We start from the raw sequence: 20,886 nt of genomic DNA, 5'->3' as shown, positions 1-20,886 counted from the left end.
GTTGCAGTGAGCCCAGATCATGCCATCGCATTTCAGCATTCCAGCCTGGCTGACAAAAGAGAAATTCTGTCTCAAAAAAAAAAAAAAAAAGAAAGAAAGAAAGAAAAGAAAAAGAAAAAAATGCTTAGGAAATAAAACAATTTTGAATATGACGCACTTTTTTTTTTTTTTTTTTTTTAGATTTAGTATCATTGCTTTTCACATTCCTCAATGGGAATAAAGAAAGAACTAGCTGTGCCTAACAGAAACAGATTTTGTCTGGCTTAGCCTTGTGGCCGGCCAATTGGTACCTTTTCTAAATTCTTTTCAGAGCTGCTAAATGCTGAAATGTGACTGCATATAGAAGAATTTTTTTTTTCATTTTAAAATTCAGTATTATTTTAATGCTGAGGCAGGAGGATCACTCAAGGCCAGGAGTTCAAGACTAGCCTGGGCAATGTAGCAAGACCTCATCTCTACAAAAAATTTAAAAATTAGCTAGGCATGATGGCATGCGCCTGTAGTTCCAGCTACTCAGGGGGCTGAGGTGGGAGAATCACTTGAACCCAGAAGTTGGAGGCTGCAGTGACCTATGGTAGCACCAATGCACTCCAGCCTGGGCAATAGAGCAAGACCCTGTCTCAAAATAAAATAAGATAAAATAAAATGACGCTTTGAAACAGCAGCTATCAAATCCAAAAGCAGCCTATGTTTTATTGATCTTTTTTGAGTTTAACAACCAGAATAATGAAGGTTTAACAACAGTATTCCATAAAAAGCATTTTTACTCTTATACCATTGACTGATCTTATTTATTTATTTTTTTTTTTTGAGATGGAGTCTGGCTCTGTCGGCCAGATTAGAGTGCAGTGGCATGATCTTGGCTCACTGCAACTTCTGCCTCCTGGACTTAAGTGATTCTCTTGCCTCAGCCTCCCAGAGTGCTGGGATTAGAGGCATGAGCCACAGCACCTGGCCTGACTGATCTTAATATAAAAAAAGTACTATATATTGAAGAAGTCAAAGTGAGATAGAGTGTGAGGTATAGAATATGAAATGATTGCAAAAGATAAAAATTGACACAGAAGCCTGGGTGCGGTGGCTCACGCCTGTAATCCCAGCATTTTGAGAGGCCAAGGCAGATGGATCACTTGAGGTCAGGAGTTCCAGACCAGCCTGGCCAACATGGTGAAACCCCGTCTCTACTAAAAATTCAAAAATTAGCCCAGTGTGGTGGTGCACGCCTCTAATCCCAGCTACTCGGGAGGCTGAGACAGGAGAACTGCTTGAACTCGGGTGGCGGAGGTTGCAGTGAGCTGGGATTGTGCCACTGCACGGCAGCCCAGGCAACAGAGTGAGACTCCATCTCAAAAAAATAAAAAAATAAAAAATTAATTAATTGATTTAAAAAACAGGCACAGAATCAAATAATTCAGTTACTTCTCTTTGATGTAGACAAGAGATATAAAGGAAGCCTAAATTAGAAAATCTAACACATTTTCCAAACACTGACATGACCATAAAATTTAAATATTAATGTATTAATGGCTGGGCATGGTGGCTAATGCCTGTAATACAAGTGGCTTTGGAAGGCTGAGGTGGGAGGATTGCTTGAGGCCAGGAGTTCAAGACCAGCTTGGGCAACAAAGAAAGATCCTATCTTTACAAAAAAAAAAAAATTGCTGAGTGTGGTGGCACACACCTGTAGTCCCAGCTACTCAGGAGGCTGAGTCAGGAGGATCACTTGAGCCTGAGGATTCAAGTCTACAGAGAGTCGATCACACCACTTTACTCTGGCCTGGGCAACAGAGCAAGATCCTGTCTCAAATAAATAGATAAATAAATAAATATTACCTTAATTGTGAAAAAATATATGGAGCAGTCTTTAACAACGGAGCTGAGATAACTATTTTTGTCCATTTTTTAAAGTGTGAATTTTCTATTACAAAGTACAGTATACTCCACAGCCAGTTTTTGAGAGTTCAAGCTGGATTCAGGGGAGATTACGTTCTGAATGTGTTAGTGGTTTTGGTGCCAACTATTTGTCCTGTCAGATAGCATTCATTGACTAGAAACAACACTGTCTAGTATAATAAAACATATTGTATAATGTTTTTCTCCAGTGAATAGAATCACTAAAAGAATTTCTAGAAAAAAATTATTTTATTTAGCTTTTAGAGTAAGATTTTAGTGAACAAGTTGGAAGAATTATGAAAGTTAAATATTATTTGAATTTCACACATGGATATATAATTTCAAATAATCATTGCTCAATTTAATAATTAAACTAATAAAAAACTCATTTTCTGACATTATTTCTTATGGATAGTGATTTCCAGGGGAAAAAATGGATTAAGGGTATATTAGCAGCTCACTTCGGCAGCACATATACTAAAATTGTAATGATACAAAGATTAGCATGGTCCCTGCAGGAGGATGACATGCAAATTCGTGAAGTGTTCTATGTTTTTAAAAACAAATTAAAAAAGAATTAAATTAGCTTTTCCCTTTATCAAGTGGCATGACGATGAGAAGATTGTGGGCATTACTACTTCCCCTTTAGGAATGAGAATTCTTCACATATCAGAAATGCTTTCATTCAGAACTAGGAAAAGGAATGTTCCTTTGCAGTAGAAGATTCTATGAAGATTGTGGTTATATCTATAATGTCTCAAATAGAAAACAAATAGAATGAAAAATTAAACCAAGTTTTAAAATTAATTTTAAGATTAGATGGTAATTAATTAAATTCACAATGCAGTGATTTTATTGTTATTAAGATGTCCAGAATAACAGTTGTTATAAAGTCACAATGCAGATATTTTAGTCATATAGAACCTTCAATAAAGAAAATATGTCACATTTTTCAAAAGAACTAAAGGACCAGCGAAGTATGCTGAGCATTTTCAATTTTACTTCTACCACATCTCTCACTCCTTCCCATTCTCTGCATCTCCAGATTGTTACCTTAGTTCACTTCTTCATACCTGTAAACTCTAAGCGAATCTCCCTACTGTTAAGTTCACAGAATTACTTACCTTCTAAAATGGTAAGTTGATCGTGTTAACTCCCAGCTAAAACTTCACTAGCCTACTATAATCTGATTGAAGACATTTAATTTGTTATATCCTGCCGGGCACACCTGTAATCACAGCACTTTGGGAGGCCGAGGCAGACAGATCACCTGAGGTCAGGAGTTTGAGACCAGCCTGGCCAACGTGGCGAAACCCTGTCTCTACTAAAAATACAAAAATTAGCCGGGCATGGTGGTTCATGCTTGTAATATGCTTGAACCTGGGAGGTGGAGGTTGCAGCGAGCCGAGGTTGCACCATTGCACTCTAGCCTGGGCAACAAGAGCAAAACTCTGTCTCAAAAAAAAAAATTGTTATGTCTTTACAGTCAAAATTCTTATAGTATGACACTGAAGGCAGCCTATGCTTGTTCATTCCACAATCCATACCTGTTTAATCTCTCTCCATACTTATTTTCTGTCCTTACTCTTATTTTCCTGCAGCCTCCAGCTACCTTCCCTCCCCTATAGATCCAGACATCCTAAATGATTTAACAGCATTATTCCTTGAACTTGCCATCCTGTTTGTGCCTCAAAGACCTTACATAGGTAGTTCACTCCATCTAAAAAGACACTGTCCATCCCTCAACCAACCCAACTCCTTTCTAATTACTCAACTAAACATCACCTGCTTTGTAAAGTCTTTCCTTGCCTGACTGAGCTGACCCGATGACACCTTTCTTTGTGCTATCCTGTCCCTTTACTATTGCATTCCTCATTCTGATTTGCAATTATTTGTGTATATTTTAGAATTCCTCACTAGAATGAAAGTTGCCTGAAAACAAAAGCTACATTAGGGCCTTCAATAAATGTTTGCTGAATGAAATTGTGAGACTTGTGGAACTGTGGCCTGTTTTATAGAGCTGAATCCTATGAATCTGCTGGTATTTGGCCATTTCTAACCTACCAAAACAGCCATTTCACAGGGTTCAACCTAACTATTTTCCAAAAGGTAAATCTTGGCCGGGTGCAGTGGCTCACTCTTGTAATCCTAGCACTTTGGGAAGCCAAGGTGGGTGGATTACCTGAGGTCAGGAGTTCGAGACCAGCCTGGCCAACATGGTGAAGCCCCGTCTCTACTAAAAATACAAGGTGGTGGGTACCTGTGATCCCAGCTACCGGGGAGGCTGAGGCGGGAGAATTGCTTGAACTGGGTAGGCAGAGGTTGCAGTGAGCTGGGATCACACCACTGCACTCCAGCCTGGGTGACAGAGCAAGATATATATATAGATATATGTGTGTGTGTGTGTGTGTGTGTGTGTGTGTGTGTATATATATATGCCTATTGTTTGTTTCTCAGTACAAAGTCCAATTGTTATGCTGAATGGAATGTTCATTCCATTTGTACTTTTTTTTTTTTTTGCTGGGGGTATTGGCAGGGAGGTGGGGAAGGAGCATTCTATTTATTGATATCTTGCTCAGGTTTCCATCTAGACTGTTGTCCTTCAAATCTTTGTTAACAAACTAGAGAGGCCAAATGTAGGACTGGGGTTCAGCAGCGCTCTGGGAAGCCTTTTGAGCTTTGGAACAAGCATCATCTCATTAATCAGTTTACATGAGAACTGTAGCTGCAGGCAGATTCCAGTGCAATTACATGTGCCACCTCACATTATTTTAGCTTCACTGTTCATGAAGAGATTGTTTCCCAAGTATTCAAACCTGACTCTTCATATAAGAGTGACTAAATTTCTCCTAAGCTGAAAGTTGACAAATACTCAATATCTTTATATTATTCCTTTAAACCTGCTCAGGAATCAAGTCAGTGTAATAAAGTTGATATGAGAGCTCCTAAAACCACTGTCCTTAAATATACTGCTTGTGAGCTTGTGAGCTGAGGAGGGGAGGCAGATTTGAGCCCATCTTCTGTCTCCTTGCTCAGCTGTCTTGCAATAAAACTTTCTCTCTAAAATAATTAAAATAAAATACATGAATAGAGTTGATATGAGAGCTTATATAAGTTCTTGCAAAGAATTTTCTTATCCAATCATATCTCATTTCAAAAGACTTATTCAGGAAAACAACGGTAATGAAGCAGGGTCCCAGGACCATCTTAACTCCCTTTTACCTGTTGGCTATTTGTTTGCAGTAATATTTCCTGCTTCTCCCTACAGTTCAATTTCCTGTTTCCTCACAACTCAGTATTAATTGGAGGCAGATGTTCTCATATTTTTGTCAGCACACACAGTTGGCCTTCATCTGGACTGTCTGCAATTTCTTCGCATGAATGAATTTTTCGTCTAGTCAAGTTCCCATAGTTTAAAGTCTAATATAAATATAGGGCTAAAATATATACCATTAAAAGCTGAAGAAGCCAGGGATGGTGGCTCATGCCTGTAATCCCAGCACTTTGGGAGGCCGAGGTGGGCAGATCACCTGAGGTCAGGAGTTCAGGACCAGCCTGACCAACATGGAGAAAGCCGGTCTCTACTAAAAATACAAAATTAGCTGGGCATGGTGGCAGGCACCTGTAATGCCAGCTACCCGAGAGGCTGAGGCAGGAGAATCACTTGAACCCGGGAGGCAGAGATTGCAGTGAGCTGAGGTCACACCATTGCACTCCAGCCTGGGCCACAAGAGCGAAACTCCATCTCAAAAGAAAAAAAAACAAAAAACAAACAAATAAAACTGAAGGAAAGGGTGTGTGTAGGGGGGTGACTTACCCTACTAAATATAAAGACTTATAAAGCTATTAAGAATTAAGATAGTTGGTAGAGAAAAAATAGCTAATAGAAAAGAATATGGAACTGAGATAAATGCTTATACATATATGTAAATTAGTATATGACTGGTTACAAACCAGAGAGGAAATGATGGGCTCTTCAGTAAGTGATGTGGAAACTACTGGGTACCCATATGGAAAAATAAAATAAAGTTAGCCTCTTACCTCATAATATAAGCAGAAAAAATTGCAAATGAATTAACAATTAAAAAATGAAAATAAAAATTCCAAAATTTTTTAAAGAAAATACTTTTGTGACTTCAGATAAGGAGGGATATCTCAAGGCACAAAATTACAAAACAGAAGGAACCAATTGATAAACTGGAGTATGCTAATATGAACAATTTTTTTTTTTTTTTGAGACGGAGTTTCGCTCTTGTTGCCCAGGCTGGAGTGCAATGGTGTGATCTCTGCTTACTGCAACCTCCGCCTCCCAGGTTCAAGAAATTCTCCTGCCTCAGCCTCCCTAGTAGCTGGGATTATAGGCACGCACCACCAAGCCCAGCTAATTTTGTATTTTTAGTAGAGACGGGGTTTCTCCATGTTGGTCAGGCTGGTCTCGAACTCCCAACCTCAGGTGATCTGCTCGCCTTGGCCTCCCAAAGTGCTGGGATTACAGGTAAACAACTTTTATCCAACAAAAGTCACCATAATGAAAGTGAAAAAATAAGCCATAGGTAGAAGATATATGCAAGATATAAAACTAGCAAGGACTAGGACTAAGATTCAGAATATTTGAACAATTTCTACCAATGGACAAGAAAAAGAGAAACACTCTAAATAGAAATTCACAAAGAATAAGAATTCATAGAAGAAGAATCTGAATAGCTAATACATATATATGAAAAGATATTCAACTTTACTGGTAACCAGGGCAATGCAAACAAAAAATATGCAATATTTAATATTAATAATAATGTAATATGTAATATGTAAACATTTTATACCCATCATCTTTACAAAAATTTCAAAAATCTAACAATGCCAAGCAATGCATTTGTATATATAGTGCTTATTGGTAGAGCTGATTTGAAAAGGAATTTGACAATATCTAGTAAAGATGAAGATACTCATACCCTATGACCTAACATTTCATTTTTAGGTGTGTACCCTACAGAAACTCTGACATGTGCTCAAGATGATAAGTACCAGAACAGTACCAAAAACATTGTAATAGCAAAAAAATTAGAAATGACCTAAATTAGGCTGGGCACAGTGGCGCACACCTGTAATCCCAGCACTTTGGGAGGCCGAGGCAGGCGGATCACCTGAGGTTGGGAGTTCGAGACCAGCCTGACCAACATGGAGAAACCTTGTCTCTACTGAAAATACAAAGTTAGCCGGGCGTGGTGGCGCGTGCCTGTAATCCCAGCTACCCGGGAGGCTGAGGCAGGAGAACTGCTTGAACCTGGGAGGCAGGGTTGCAGTGAGCCGAGATCGTGCCATTGCACTCCAGCCTGGGCAACAAGAGTGAAACTCCGTCTCAAAAAAAAAAAAAAGACCTAAATTAATATTAATAGAAAATGGAGAAATAATTTATGGTTTGTTGATACAACTATGTCCTGGAAAAGTCAGATTCTACATGGATTTTTGTGTGTTTAAGTCATTTATTTTTCTAGGAAGTCAACTTACTTAAAAAGAATACCCTTATATATTACATAAGGTTTATATATTAATTGTACATCTAAATTAACAAGAAAAAGTTTAATGTTTTACACTAAACTTTTGGTTTAATTATAACATTACTAAGAAAAATCAACCTCCTAGATCAAACATAGTCTATAATTTTTTTTCTATGATTTTTTTTTTCTTCTTGTACCCAGGACAGTGCTGACACATAGTTTATAATTTAAACTTAGAGTAAACAAACTTTCTATAGCAATCATTATAACAAATGTAATTACCTGTAATAAAAAATTATTCTTGTTGAAGCTACTAAAATAAAACTTTTGAGGTTACAGAGAATTTGTTTTTTGCCATTTTTAATAAATAGGCTTAGAAAAGAAATTTTCTATTGCTGAGATAGAATAACCATATAGATTTCACTTAAATTTTGTGGTAACTGGTATGCAAATATAATATTCAGCCTTGTCTTTTTCTAAACAAAAGATAATTGTTAATCTTGTGTTTGACACTCTAAAAATTTCATTTCAATGGCTTCTTAACATTTTTCATTGTGTCATTGAAATGTAGGACCTACAATTTCATTTTTGTTTTAGCTTCACTATTTCTGAAAAATCATTTCCCAGGTATTTTTTTTCTTTTCTTTTGAGATGGAGTCTCCCTCTGTGATGCAGGCTGGAGTGCAGTGGCACTCTGCAGTGGCTCACTGCAACCTCCACCTCCTTATTTCCCAAGCATTTAAACTTGACTCTTCATGTCAGAGTGACTTAGTTTTCTACTTACTGATTATAACAATAATGAATCCAAAAATTGGAGGTTTATATATTTTTATTTTTGTAAGCAGAAAATCAGTAGGAAAAAAAGAAAGAATGGGAATACTATATATCAGTGAAAACAGAAGAAATAGAAGAACTACATTTATCAACATGGATAAATCTCAAAAATATAACGTTGAATGGAAAAAACAAATTGTAAAAGGATATGTAGAGTATGATGCTATATACTTAAAAATAAGAAAAATGTTATCTGTTGTTTGTAGATACCTATATGTATTATAAAAGTATAAAAATATGAAGCGAGGGCTGGGCGTGGTGGCTCATGCCTGTAATCCCAGCACTTTAGGAGGCTGAGGCGGGTGGATCACAAGGTCAGGAGATCGAGACCATCCTGGCTAACACGGTGAAACCCCGTCTCTACTAAAAATACAAAAAATTAGCCAGGCATGGTGGCGGGCGCCTGTAGTCCCAGCTACTCAGGACGCTGAGGCAGGAGAATGGTGTGAACCTGGGAGGCGGAGCTTGCATTGAGCCGAGATCGTGTCACTGCACTCCAGCCTGGGCGACAGAGCAAGACTCCGACTCAGAAAAAAAAAAAAAAAAAAAAAATGAAGGGAGATGATATGTATTTTAGGATAGCAGTTACCTCTGAGGAGGAAGGGAGAGAGGGGAATGAGATGGGGAGGAATACAGGAAACTTTACCTGTATTTTTATTGTATTATTTGTTTTGAAGGATGTGAAGCAAAAAAATGGCAAAATGTTAGGATACTTTCAAGCAAGGTGGTATGTACATGTGTATTTATTATACTATATCTTTTTCTGTATGTCTGAAATATTTTGAAATAAAAATGTTAGATAAAAGTAAGATAGGCCAGGCGCGGTGGCTGATGCCTGTAATCCCAGCACTTTGGGATGCCAAGGCAGGCAGATCACCTGAGGTCAGGAGTTTGAGACCAGCCTGGCCAACATGGTGAAACCCAGTCTCTACTAAAAATACAAAATTAGCTGGGCATGGTGGCAGGTGCCTGTAATCCCAGCTACTCAGCAGGCTGAGGCAGGAGAATTGCTTGAATCCAAGAGGCGGAGGTTGAGTGAGCCGAGAACACGCCATTGCACTCCAGCCTGGGCGACGAGAGTGAAACTTTGTCTCAAAAAAAAAAAAAAAATGTGAGATAAAGCTGGGGATGATGGCTCATGACTGTAATCATGCCACTGCACTCCATCCTAGGCAAGGGAGTGAGACTCTGTCTCAGAAAAAAAACATGAAAAAGAAAGAAAAGAAAAGAAAAAGGCAGGAGTGCAGTGGCTCACGCCTGTAATCCCAGCACTTTGGGAGGCCGAGGCAGGTGGATAGCCTGAGCCCAGGAGTTCAAGAGCAGCCTGGACGACAGAATGAGACCCGTCTCTCTTTTTTTTTTTATTCTGAGGCAAGTCCCACTCTCTTGCCCAGGCTGGAGTGCAGTAGTGTGACCTCGGCTCACTGCAACCTCCGTCCCCCAGGTTCAAGTGATTCTCCTGCCTTAGCCTCCCAAGTAGCTGGGATCACAGGTGCCCACCATCATGCCCAGCTAATTTTTGTATTTTTTAGTAGAGACGGGGTTTCACCATGTTGGCCAGAATGGTCACAAACTCCTGACTTCAAGTGATTCACCCACCTCGGGCTCCCAAAGTGCTGGGATTACAGGCATAAGCCACCATGCCCGACCTCTATTTTTTTTAATTAAAAAAAAAGTGGTATGACTTCACAGTTTTCTGTTTAACATGGCACTTTATCATTTTTTCAAAAACTAGAATAATATTTGGCTAACTGGTCCTTTCAAAATAGAATAAACATACATTTGGCATATTTGAAATAGAAACAAATACATTTGGCAACACTATTGAGAACTTGTAAGCCTGGGTTTTACTCTCCTTCAGCACTAAACTAACTGTATGGCCTTGAACAAATCATATATCCTCTCTAACCTGTAAAATGAGAAAGTTGAACTAGAATGTCTTCGGAGTTTCCTTCCGACTCTAAAAAGTTGAGATTACCACTGTACCTGTGAGAATGGATGGAAGAAAGAATTTGTGCTGTTATTAACGGACCTATTCTGAGGCTAAATAGCTGCTAGGAGACTTGGAAACCCATGTTCGCCGTGAAGGCAGACACTGCCTATGATGTAAAAACTGTAATGCTGCAATGCCTATAAATCCTACCAAAGAGTAAGGCAGATCATGAAATTCATCTTTTAGGAATGCTGAGTCTTATTTTCTGCCCCCTGCCCCTATAGTTAATAACTAAATTATATTGTTGTTTTTCTTCTCTGAACTTCTCATAGCTCTTCTGCCATAAACAGAAGATTACACTTACTTATCAATCTGGCTGATTCTAAATGGTTTATTTTCTTAAGGATCTTAAAATCCTTCTCTCAAATGCCACTTCTATGGTCTATTAGGCCTCAAAAATTCTATAGCACCCTTCTAAATAAAGTTAAAGATATTGACTGCAGGCTCCAGCACTTTCCACCAGTTAGTTCTGTCTTAATGGCCTTCATTACCAATCGTGTCTTTGCTGATTTACAGTCTATAAGTCCATCAGGTACTTTTGTTTCCTTATTTTTCATAAATCATTTCCACAGTCTCCATTTCCTTTCTGCCTCTTGGCCTTTTCAGAAGATGTTCCTAATATTTGCAAACAAATTACTTTCTCCCTTTAATTATCTCTGTTCTTCCTTTCAGCATTATCCCAAGAGAAATAAAATAAACTTGCATTATATATTTATCATTTATCATCATATATCATGCTATGTATTTGTTGATTTGATCTTTGCCAGTTTATTAGAGCTTGGTGTCACATGCTGTTACATAAATTGTTGCAATTAAAACTGGGAAACATGTTCCTCTCTGCACTTGGCTCCCTTCTTCGTGGAGATGTGATTAGCAGGTTAGAGGATGATAGAAATCAGGCCAGGCTTGGGAATTAGAAACCGGTGTGTTCTAGTTATCTCTGTTTTGTTTCAGGAACAAAACCCACAGTCCCTACTCTAAGACTTCTATAAAATGTATGCATGAGTCAAAGAAGAAGCCACTAAGGAGTAAGTGGTTGGTGCAGCACAAGCTCATTAGTACTACTAGAAAAACATTTCAAACGTAATGCCTGACTTGTGGATAAATAGTATAAATAAGGTATCACTCCTTATCTGAGTCTCTGGGTTACAATCTACATAAGGACACAAAATATTCCGAACAATTGGGTTCAGCATAAAAAATAAACAAATAAATAAATAAATAAAGGACCCAAAATATCTTATTAGCCTTTCTCCATAGCATACAGAACAGTGCCAGAACACATAAGCACACAGTGATGATTAAGAAAATGTTTTAGGCCAGGCATGGTGGCTCATGCATGTAATCCCAGCACTTTGGGAGGCTGAAGCAAGAGGATCACTTAGCCCATGAGCTTGAGACCAGCCTGGGCAACATAGTGAGATCCTGTTTCTACAAAAAAAAAAAAAAAAAAAATTAGTCAGGCATGGTGGAATGTGCCTGTGGTCTCAGCTACTTGGGAGCCTAAGGCAGGAAGATTGCTTGAGCCCAGGAGGTTGAATCTGCCATAAGCTGTAATCACACCACTGTACTCCAGCCTGGGTGACAGAGAGAGACCCTATCTCTAAAAAAAAAAAAAGAAAATGTTATATATTAGTTATTTACTTACAATATTTACCCATATGGACTTCAAAAGGTATTGGTAGTAACTTGCAATAAATCACAGGATATAGGAAAATGTAAAACCAAGTAGAAGGAGGAGGCAATTATAGATTTGTGAGTAATTTTTTTTTTTTTTTTTTTTTTTGGAGAAGGAGTCTTGCTCTGTCGCCCAGGCTGGAGTGCAATGGCGCAATCTCAGCTCACTGCAACCTCTGCCTCCTGGGTTCAAGTGATTCTCCTGCCTCAGCCTCCTGAGTAGCTGGGATTACAGGCGCCTGCCACTAGGCCCGGCTAATTTTTTTGTATTTTTAGTAGAGACACAGGGTTTCACCATGTTGCCCAGGCTGGTCTCGAACTCCTGACCTCAGGTGATCCACCTGCTTCGGCCTCCCAAAGTGCTGGGATTACAGGCATGAGCCACTGCGCCGGGCCACATGAGTAATTTTATTAAATATAAACTCCTCTATTGCTTTAAACCTTCCACTCTAAGTGAACCACTCACTATGCTGATTTCAGTTGTAATTTTAGTTTTAAGGAAGCACAAATATTATATTTCTTTAACATGGAAAAGAAACACAGTAATGAGAATTCATTCAACTAAGATCAGAATGAGTCCCAGTTACTACATTTTAAAATCTTAGGATTTAATAAAAGTCATAGGGAGATAGAGAGTATCCTTTTCTGCCTCTGCATGAGTCCCAGAGATTCTGTAAGAGACCCAGAAAATACAAACAAATGACATTTTCAGGAAGGCGTTTCTGGTTCCCTGTTGCATCCTCTGCATCTAGAAAAGATAAAACCAGCTAGGCACTTCCCCAGTCGCTACAGACTCAGAAGAGGAGCTGCAAGTGACAGCCAAAGCATTCCCCATGGCCAGACAATGAGACAAGGAGAAGCAGCTGGCTATCCCCCTCCTTTGGACTGTTGGGACACAGGAGATCAGAGAAGGGCCGGGTATATTCCCAGATACCAATAGTAATAACCCAGTGAAAGGGGCAGCCAAATATGATAGCATAATAGTGGAATAACAGCTGTTTTTTCTCTCTTTGGGCTTTAAATAATTAGACATTACTTGCTTTTTTTCCCCTTTGGCAAGTTTATTTTATTTTATTTTCCCTTTTTTTAAGAGATGATCTTGCTCTCTTGCCCAGGCTGGAGTGCAGTGGCGTGATTATAGCTCACTTCAGCCTCAAACTGCTGGGCTCAAGTGATCCTCCCACCTCAGACTTTGGAGTGGCTACGACTGCAGACATGCACCACCAGGCCCAGCTAATTTTTTAATTTTTTATAGAGATAGGGTCTCACTATGTTACCCAGGCTGGTCTCAAACTGCTGGCCTCAAGTGATCATCCTGTCTCTGCCTCTCAAAGCACTGAGGTTCCAGGTGTGACCCACCATGCCTGGCTCCCTTTGGCAACTTTTAATTTTTGAAAAATTCCATTCTTCTGAATAGTTTGAAAATATTTGCTTTTCTTCCAGGCATTTTCTTGAAGTAATTTCCTGTTTTACTTTCAGAAATGTAAAATATGTGACGGGGATAAAGAAAGATCTGCCTGATTTTAGGACATATAATACTTATATAAGGCCCTATCTAAAGTATCCCAAGAGAGGTGTATATTTGTCATCTTTTATAATTGATTTAAAAAGATTGAACTAAAAAGTAAAAATCTGTCACTTGCTTGCCTTGCGATTAATGTGGGAAAGGTTCCGGTTCTGTGTTGAGGTTGCTGGGCTATAGGGTCAAAAACTGGCCTGTCATCCCCTCTAGGATTTGTTCCTTGTTCTGTGATTTGCTGAGTGATCAAAGACCGATGATTATATGGCTCTGCATCTGTATTTCTGTTAAATGGAAATTTAAAAACAATTTTTTTCTTAGACGCAAGCGTTGCAGATTTGAGGCTAGATCCTCACATTTTGTGGTCAAGAGGGAATTAGGAACGTGCCATCCCGAACCTGGAAGAGAAAGAAAAAGTACAGAGCAGTCGGTACCTGGTTATAATTTCTGTCAGTCATTTTCACAGCCACACAGCAAGAACCCGTGCTGAAAATAGAAATAAAGATGATTGTCCTCATCTGAGATTTTTCTAAGCATAAAAAAAGAGGCATCATTACTTCTTAGTATCCTCCTGGAAAGAAGAAACTGAAAGAAAAGTGAACACTGCTTCTCAGTTTTTTCCTCTTAAAGATCACTGGAAAATTTTGTAGCATCAAAGCTTATTGCAGATAGAGCTATCTAAGCTACTTTTATTTGATCAAATTAATTCACTACTTTTCTTTTCTTTTTGAGATGGAGTTTCGCTCTTGTTGCTCAGGCTGGAGTGCAATGGCGCGATCTCGGCTCACTGCAACCTCCGCCTCCTGGGTTCAAGTGATTCTCCTGCCTCAGCCTCCCGAGTAGCTGGGATTACAGGCGCCTGCCACCACACCCAGCTAATTTTGTATTTTTAGTAGAGACGGAGTTTCACCATATTGGTCAGGCTGGTTTCGAACTCCTGACCTCAGGTGATCCGCCCGCCTCAGCCTCCCAAAGTGCTGGAGTTACAGGCATAAGCCATCACAGCCGGCCAATTCACTACTTTTCAAGACTCTGAATAACATTTCTTAGTGTATATTTGTTGAGCTGCCTACTATAGTAATTGCATTTTACTAGGTGCATGAATAGACTGAGAAGCTTACCTTCTGGGCAGAGGGAAAGACAAACAAAATATGCCATGTAATGTGTTAACTACACAGAAATTTGAAAGATGCTATGGGGGCTTATAGGAGAAGTGGGGAAGTGAATTATGCTCAAAGAGGGCTCCTGGCTAAGGAGAAAATCTTACCTGAGTTTTGAAGGATAAGCAGGGGTAGCCAAATGGAGAGGTGGGGACTTAGACTGATCTAAGATAAGTGGGATTCTAGGTAAAGGGAGCAGTCAGGGTGAATATTCGAAGTCTAAGATCTTCGGGGTCTGCAGGTGATTCTTGTGGACACTACTACAATTATTTTATTTTATTTTATTTGAGACAAAGCCTCACTCTGTCGCCCAGGCTGAGTGCTGTGGCGCAATCACAGCTCACTGCAGCCTCGCTCTCCTGTGCTCAAGCGATCCTCCTACCCTTAGCCTCACAAGACTGAAGGTGAGTGCCACCTCACCCAGCTAATTTTAATTTTTGTAGAGACAGGGTCTTGCGATGTTTGAAAGGCCGGTCTTGAACTCCCGGGCCCAAACAATCCTCCTGCCTTGGCCTCCCAAGGTGTTAGGATTACAAGCATGTGCCACTGCGCCCTGCCTACTATTTTAATTGGAGTTTCATGGCTGAGCACAGTGGCTCAGACCTGTAATCCCAGCAATTTGAGAAGCCATGGAACTGCCATGGAAACTGCTTTAACTGAAATTTTGGTTCACAGCCTTCATTGGATTATCTATTGGGGCAAGCTCGTATTGCCTGGAGGATTGCCTAGAATTTGAGGCTGCAGTGAGTCACTGCACTCTAGCCTGGGTGACAGTGAGACCCATATCTAAAAAAACAAACAAAAAATTAGAGTTTCTGGTTACTGGAGAGTTTCTGCTGGTTGAGTTTCAGTGCTATCTAGAGCTCTAACCCTTTTGAACATAACAACAATGAATCACAGCGTATGGACATGTTTGGACTGGTACATTGCCTTATTGGTCCTATTACAGTTACTGCTGCCTAATGCCTAAAGCATGTCCATGCTTTCACATGAACTAGATTTTTTTTTAAATGTAGATATTATGTAATCAGAACACCAGTACCTGGAGGCAACTCTTATGCCATTAATAAAGTATTTTATTGACTGCTCTTAGTCTCAGCTAACCCATCTGGATTACATTGTACTACTTTTCAATCATGGAAAGTTGCCTTTTTTTTTTTTTTGAGATAGAGTCTCTCTCTGTCGCCAGGCTGGAGTGCAGTGGCGCGATCTCGGCTCACTGCTACCTCCACCTCCCGGGTTCAAGTGATTCTCCTGCCTCAGCCTCCCAAGTAGCTGGGATTACAGGCACATGTCACCATGCTAATTGTTGTTACTTTTAGTAGAGATGGGGTTTCACTATGTTGGCCAGGCCGGTCTCGAGCACCTGACCTCGTGATCTGCCCACCCTGGCCTCCCAAAGTGCTGGGATTACAGGCATGAGCCACCACATCCGGCCCTAAGAGAAGAAAATTTTTAATGTCATTATTATAAAGGCTATTTCCTGACACCTGTCTCCCAAAAAACAACACAAGCAAACAAAGAGAAAAAGCAACTCTAAGCAGGATTACAGCTGTGTTTCTGGACCACACAAAGTGATTATTTCTGTTTCTGAAACTCAGCATATGGTCTGTCTAGAACTCTCTCTATTTGTATGTGGAAAGGTCGCTCTTTTGGACAGGAGTCATGGCTCTAGATTGGCACACATGGAGCAGGAGGATCAGTGAAATCACTCCTGGTCATCAGTGGGGTGACAGAACACCCTCACTCTTGACTTTCTAGATGAGTTAGTGTAAAGTTTTCCTTTTATGGGTAACTCCTTCTAGTCTCATTGATCACTGACTTCCAGATCTTGCCTGCCCTGCCCTGTGGCCCCCGGGGGCTCTGCCTCCCTGCCAGGAGAGCTGCTGGGATGCTGAAACCCAGAGAAAACCACAGGTCAAGGGCTTGGCTGGGTTCCCACTCATACATTCATCCTCTCATTCATTCATCATTCCACAAGTATTTATTGAGTGCCTTCTACATGTCAGGCACTTTTATAAGCAGACACCAAAATAGACTAAAATCTTCGTTTTCAACAGTCTTCTTCTATTCTAAGGTACATTTCCATTAGCCCTGGTAAGGCAGGAAAATAGGGTCTGGAGGCAGGGAACATAAGGCAGATTCACACTTGAGCTATGATAGGAAATATCCTCTCCATAGGGCGAAGGCCAAGTAAATGACTTTGTAACTGTACTTCATCCTCTCCATTTACATAGGGCGTACCCAAGTAGAGGGTATTTCAACTCCCAAATATTCTGCAACAGGGACTTTGAGACTCTATGCTCAGGCCCGCTCCCACACCATGGAGCGTACTTTCGTTTTCAATAAAACCCTTCATTCCTTCCTTTCCTTGCTTGTGCGTTTTGTCCAATTCTTTGTTCAGGAAGCCAAGAACCGGGACACTCTCCACCATTAATATTTCGGCGAATCAGACAGGAAGAAGAGGTAAGCCGAAAAGTTTGGGATTCATTTTACTCCCTTTCCTTTCCGCTCCATACAGGGGCGCGCTCTCTCTTTTCCTTTCCAACTGGGGACCCTTGGTGGGCGGCGTCTAAACATGGAAACAGCTGCAGATTTCTGGCCGTGGTTCGTGAAACTGAAGGGTTTCCATGTTGAGGATGGCCTAACTGCCATCTCATGTTTCGCTTAGGGGAACAGGGTCTTTTTACAGTTAGCTTAAGGAATCTGGGTGTTTTTCTTTCTTTTTTTTTTTCCTTTCTTTCTTTTCAGTCTTTCAGCGGCTGTTTATAATTGCACTGTCCAGAAGGGGGAAGGAGATCTAGGCGATCCCTGATCCCTGCAGCTCAGAGCAAACTCGCGCGTGTTTCAGGGGACTTAAACTTTCTTTTCTTATGCTAAGTTCTTCCCTTACGTACTCAACTGGCTAAAGACAAAAAGCCCACCTGGCATCCTGTTCTCATTAGAGTTCATGGCTATTATAAGACTCATACTAGGAGGTAGGCCTTGGAGGGGAAAACCTGCACGTGGTACCAGTGCCCACCCAAGGTCAGAGACATCTGACACTCTAAGATTGGACCCCACAGGAGGATGCTCCGTGGGTCCTGTGGACCTCAACCTGCTCAAAGGGGATGCTCTTAGCAGAGGCTCTGAGGTCTAGTACTAAATCCTCCTTAGAATTTTCTCTCGCAATTGCAATGCTGTCTGGCCCAAACATTGTTTGGAATCTGGAGTTTACTGTCTAAAGGGAAAGTGGAATGGCATTGCATGTATCCAGGCTTTTGTGCTGCGGTTCTAAGCTGGGAGCCTGGTTAATGTGTGACACGCTACTTTGGTAGGGTTTGGCCCCAGTGCTCTTTGGAGTCTGGGAAGGTTTGGTCTTTAAAAATCAAGCTGCCATGGAAACTGCTTTAACTGAAATTTTGGTTCACAGCCTTCACTGGATTATCTATTGGGGCAAGCTGGTATTGCTATCTCATGGCTAAGGTTCCAAGCTACTGGATCTTCATTTATGTGTGTGTATGCATGTCTAGATGTGTTTATTTGTATGTACACTTATTGTTATATGTTGTGTCTACCAAAATTGGCTTATAAGTAAAAAAGCACTTATAAATTAAGTAAATAGGTCTAAGCAATTTTCAAGTTCACATGATTTAAAGTATAACTTTAGGCCGGGCGCGGTGGTTCATGCCTGTAATCCCAGCACTTTGGGAGGCCGAGGCGGGCGGATCACGAGGTCAAGAGATCGAGACCATCCTGGCTAACACGGTGAAACCCCGTCTCTACTAAAAGTACAAAAAAAAATTAGCTGGGCATGGTGGCGTGCAACTGTGTCCGAGCTGCTGGGGAGGCTGAGGCAGGAGAATGGCGTGAACCCGAGAGGCGGAGCTGGCAGTGAGCCGAGATGGCACCACTGCACTCCAGCCTGGGTGACAGAGCAAGACTCCGTCTCAAAATAAATAAATAAATAAATAAATAAATAAATAAATAAATAAATAAATAAAGTATAACTTTAATAAACAAGCTAGCTTTAAAATTATTGGTGGAATAAAAACAGAAATGCCTTCAGAATTGTCAGCATACATTTTGTCTGAATTTTATGTTTGTCTTTGCTAGGTATTTTAAAATGTCAGTGTTAATTCAAGCTGGGAGCTGCTAGGGGCGAGCCTGCCTCCCGCTCTATTCAAAGTCTCACTGAGATAAATGTATATCTGATTGCTTCCTTGGGAAGGGCTAATCAGGAACTCAGGAGAATGCAACTGTTTGCCTCCCACCTACCTGTGATCTGAAAGCCTCCAAGCTCCCTCCTCACCTCAGAGTCCAAACCAATGTTCATTTTACATATGTTGATTGATGTCTCATGTCTCCTCTGTTAACAGTAAAAAATAAAGTACAGTGAATGGGATAAATGTTTTAGGTAGACATTTTGTGTGAATTAAAATCTTTTTTTTGAGATGGAGTCTCACTCTGTCACCAGGCTGGAGTGCAGTGTCATGCTCTCGGCTCACCGCAACCTCCAACTCCCTGGTTCAAGCGATTCTCTTGTCTCAGCCTCCTAAGTAGCTGGGATTATAGGCACACACCACCACGCCCGGCTGATTTTTGTATTTTTAGTAGAGACTGGGTTTCACCATGTTGGCCAGGATGGTCTCGATCTCCTGACCTCGTGATCGGCCCGCCTCAGCCTCCCAAAGTGCTGGGATTACAGGTGTGAGCCACCGTGCCCCGCCCATAAATTAAAATCTTAAAGTTATTTTTGATGCTTGTGGAAAGTAAAAAGTTTCCTCTTCAAAGTTCCCCTTCTTGTTAAAGCATAAATCATAAGTGTTAGAAATAATAGTTTCTTTTAAAGACTAACTTTCTTCAAGCATCGTTGCTTTGTGCTAATAACTCTTGTTAAGCCCTATCTTATGTAACTGTTGGACATGCTCACAGTCACGTTCCAGCTCACAGCCTATGCCCCTTCCTTATTTGGAAATGTTATTGCTTCCTTAAACCTTTCGTAAGCAACTTCTTTGTTCTTCCCTGCACTTACCTATTTAGAAAAGTTTTAGCTATTAGCAAATCGGGTATCAGTTTGAGTGTGAGGTCCCGCTCCAGTCAATGGATGCAGGGCACAGCAGTAAGGTCGACCCAAATGCATAAGGGATAAATATACCTGCTTTTCCTTTGTTCATGTATGCTCTCGCCATTGTTCCATCTGTGACTGAGTACCCTTTCTGCAGAAAGTAAAGATTGCCTTGCTGAGAGATCTTTTGTCTCTCTGCTGACTTTTCTTTGTGGCACTGATTATCTATTTCTAACATATTTCATATTTCTAACAATGCTTATTTAATATATGAGTCATTTCCAATTAAGAAAGGGTTGTAATATAGGAATATGTTTCTGAAATTGTGGAATTGTTCTTATCTGTAAATGTCCATATCTGATAGTTCAGGATTTCTTGCTTTTTAGGGTTTCACTAAAGTTTTAGGCTAATAAGGATAAAAATTCTAGTTAACACGTAATTCTGTATGTAAAATGTGCCAGAATCAGTTATTAGTGGAAAAATAATAATTTTGTCTAATTCAGAAGTTATCTAAAAGTTAGTTCAAATTACAGATTTGCAAAGGTTATTTATGAAACAGTGTAGTAAGAAGCCATTAAGTAGGGGAGAAAGATGTGGAAAAAGTTTAAATAATAAAATATTCTTTAAAACCTGATAAAAAATTGGAGACATTTGGCTATTTAACATTTTCATAGTTAAAGCTCTTAGTCTTGATTAAAGTAAAATAAGAAGTATTGTAAAAAATGCATTGGCAGTTTGGCAATTTTTTTTTCTTTTATTTGAGACGGAGTTCTGCTCTTGTTACCCAAGCTGGAGTGCAATGGCGTGATCTCACTGCAACCTCTGCCTCCCAGGTTCAAGTGATTCCCCTGCCTCAGCCTCCCGAGTAGCTAGGATTACAGGCACTCGCTACCAAGCCCAGCTAATTTTTTGTATTTTAAGTAGAAACAAGGTTTCACCATGTTAGCCAGGCTGGTCTCGAACTCCTGACCTCAGGTGATTCGCCCGCCTCTGCCTCTCAAAGTGCTGGGATTACAGGCGTGAGCCTGTAACCATGCCCGGCCGCCAATTCTTTTTTTAATATAGTTAAGCATGAAACTGGATTTAGTGTAAAGCCAAATTTCACATACATGCTTGCATTGCTTCACACTATGTTTACTGGTTTGTGTGGATAGTGCCTAGAATACTTATTGGTCATGTGCCTAAAGTGGATTTTTTGATTGCACAGAATGTATAAAATATTGGTGAATATAGGGATATTGAATTGTGTATCAGGAGCAAAATAT

The 20,886-nt window shown here is 40.2% G+C and overlaps 1 long non-coding RNA gene and 1 pseudogene across 1 annotated transcript in view; one reads left to right on the top strand and one right to left on the bottom strand.

Moving 5' to 3' along the window:
* RNU6-1074P (RNA, U6 small nuclear 1074, pseudogene) lies at window positions 2,347–2,450 on the top strand (annotated as a pseudogene).
* LOC105379412 (uncharacterized) overlaps window positions 13,275–20,886 on the bottom strand; it is a 69,678-nt gene continuing 62,066 nt past the window's right edge. Inside the window, exons 3-4 of the long non-coding RNA XR_007058273.1 lie at window positions 18,832–18,922; window positions 13,275–13,812 (exon numbers count right to left, since the gene is read on the bottom strand). This is a non-coding gene — a long non-coding RNA (uncharacterized LOC105379412). The remainder of the gene's footprint in view (window positions 13,813–18,831; window positions 18,923–20,886) is intronic.

The sequence above is a fragment of the Homo sapiens genome, chromosome 4 (assembly GCF_000001405.40).
Source record: "Homo sapiens chromosome 4, GRCh38.p14 Primary Assembly".
NCBI lineage: Eukaryota > Metazoa > Chordata > Mammalia > Primates > Hominidae > Homo > Homo sapiens.
Note: the sequence above shows the minus strand (reverse complement) of the source record. Positions and strands in the feature narration are given on the sequence as shown.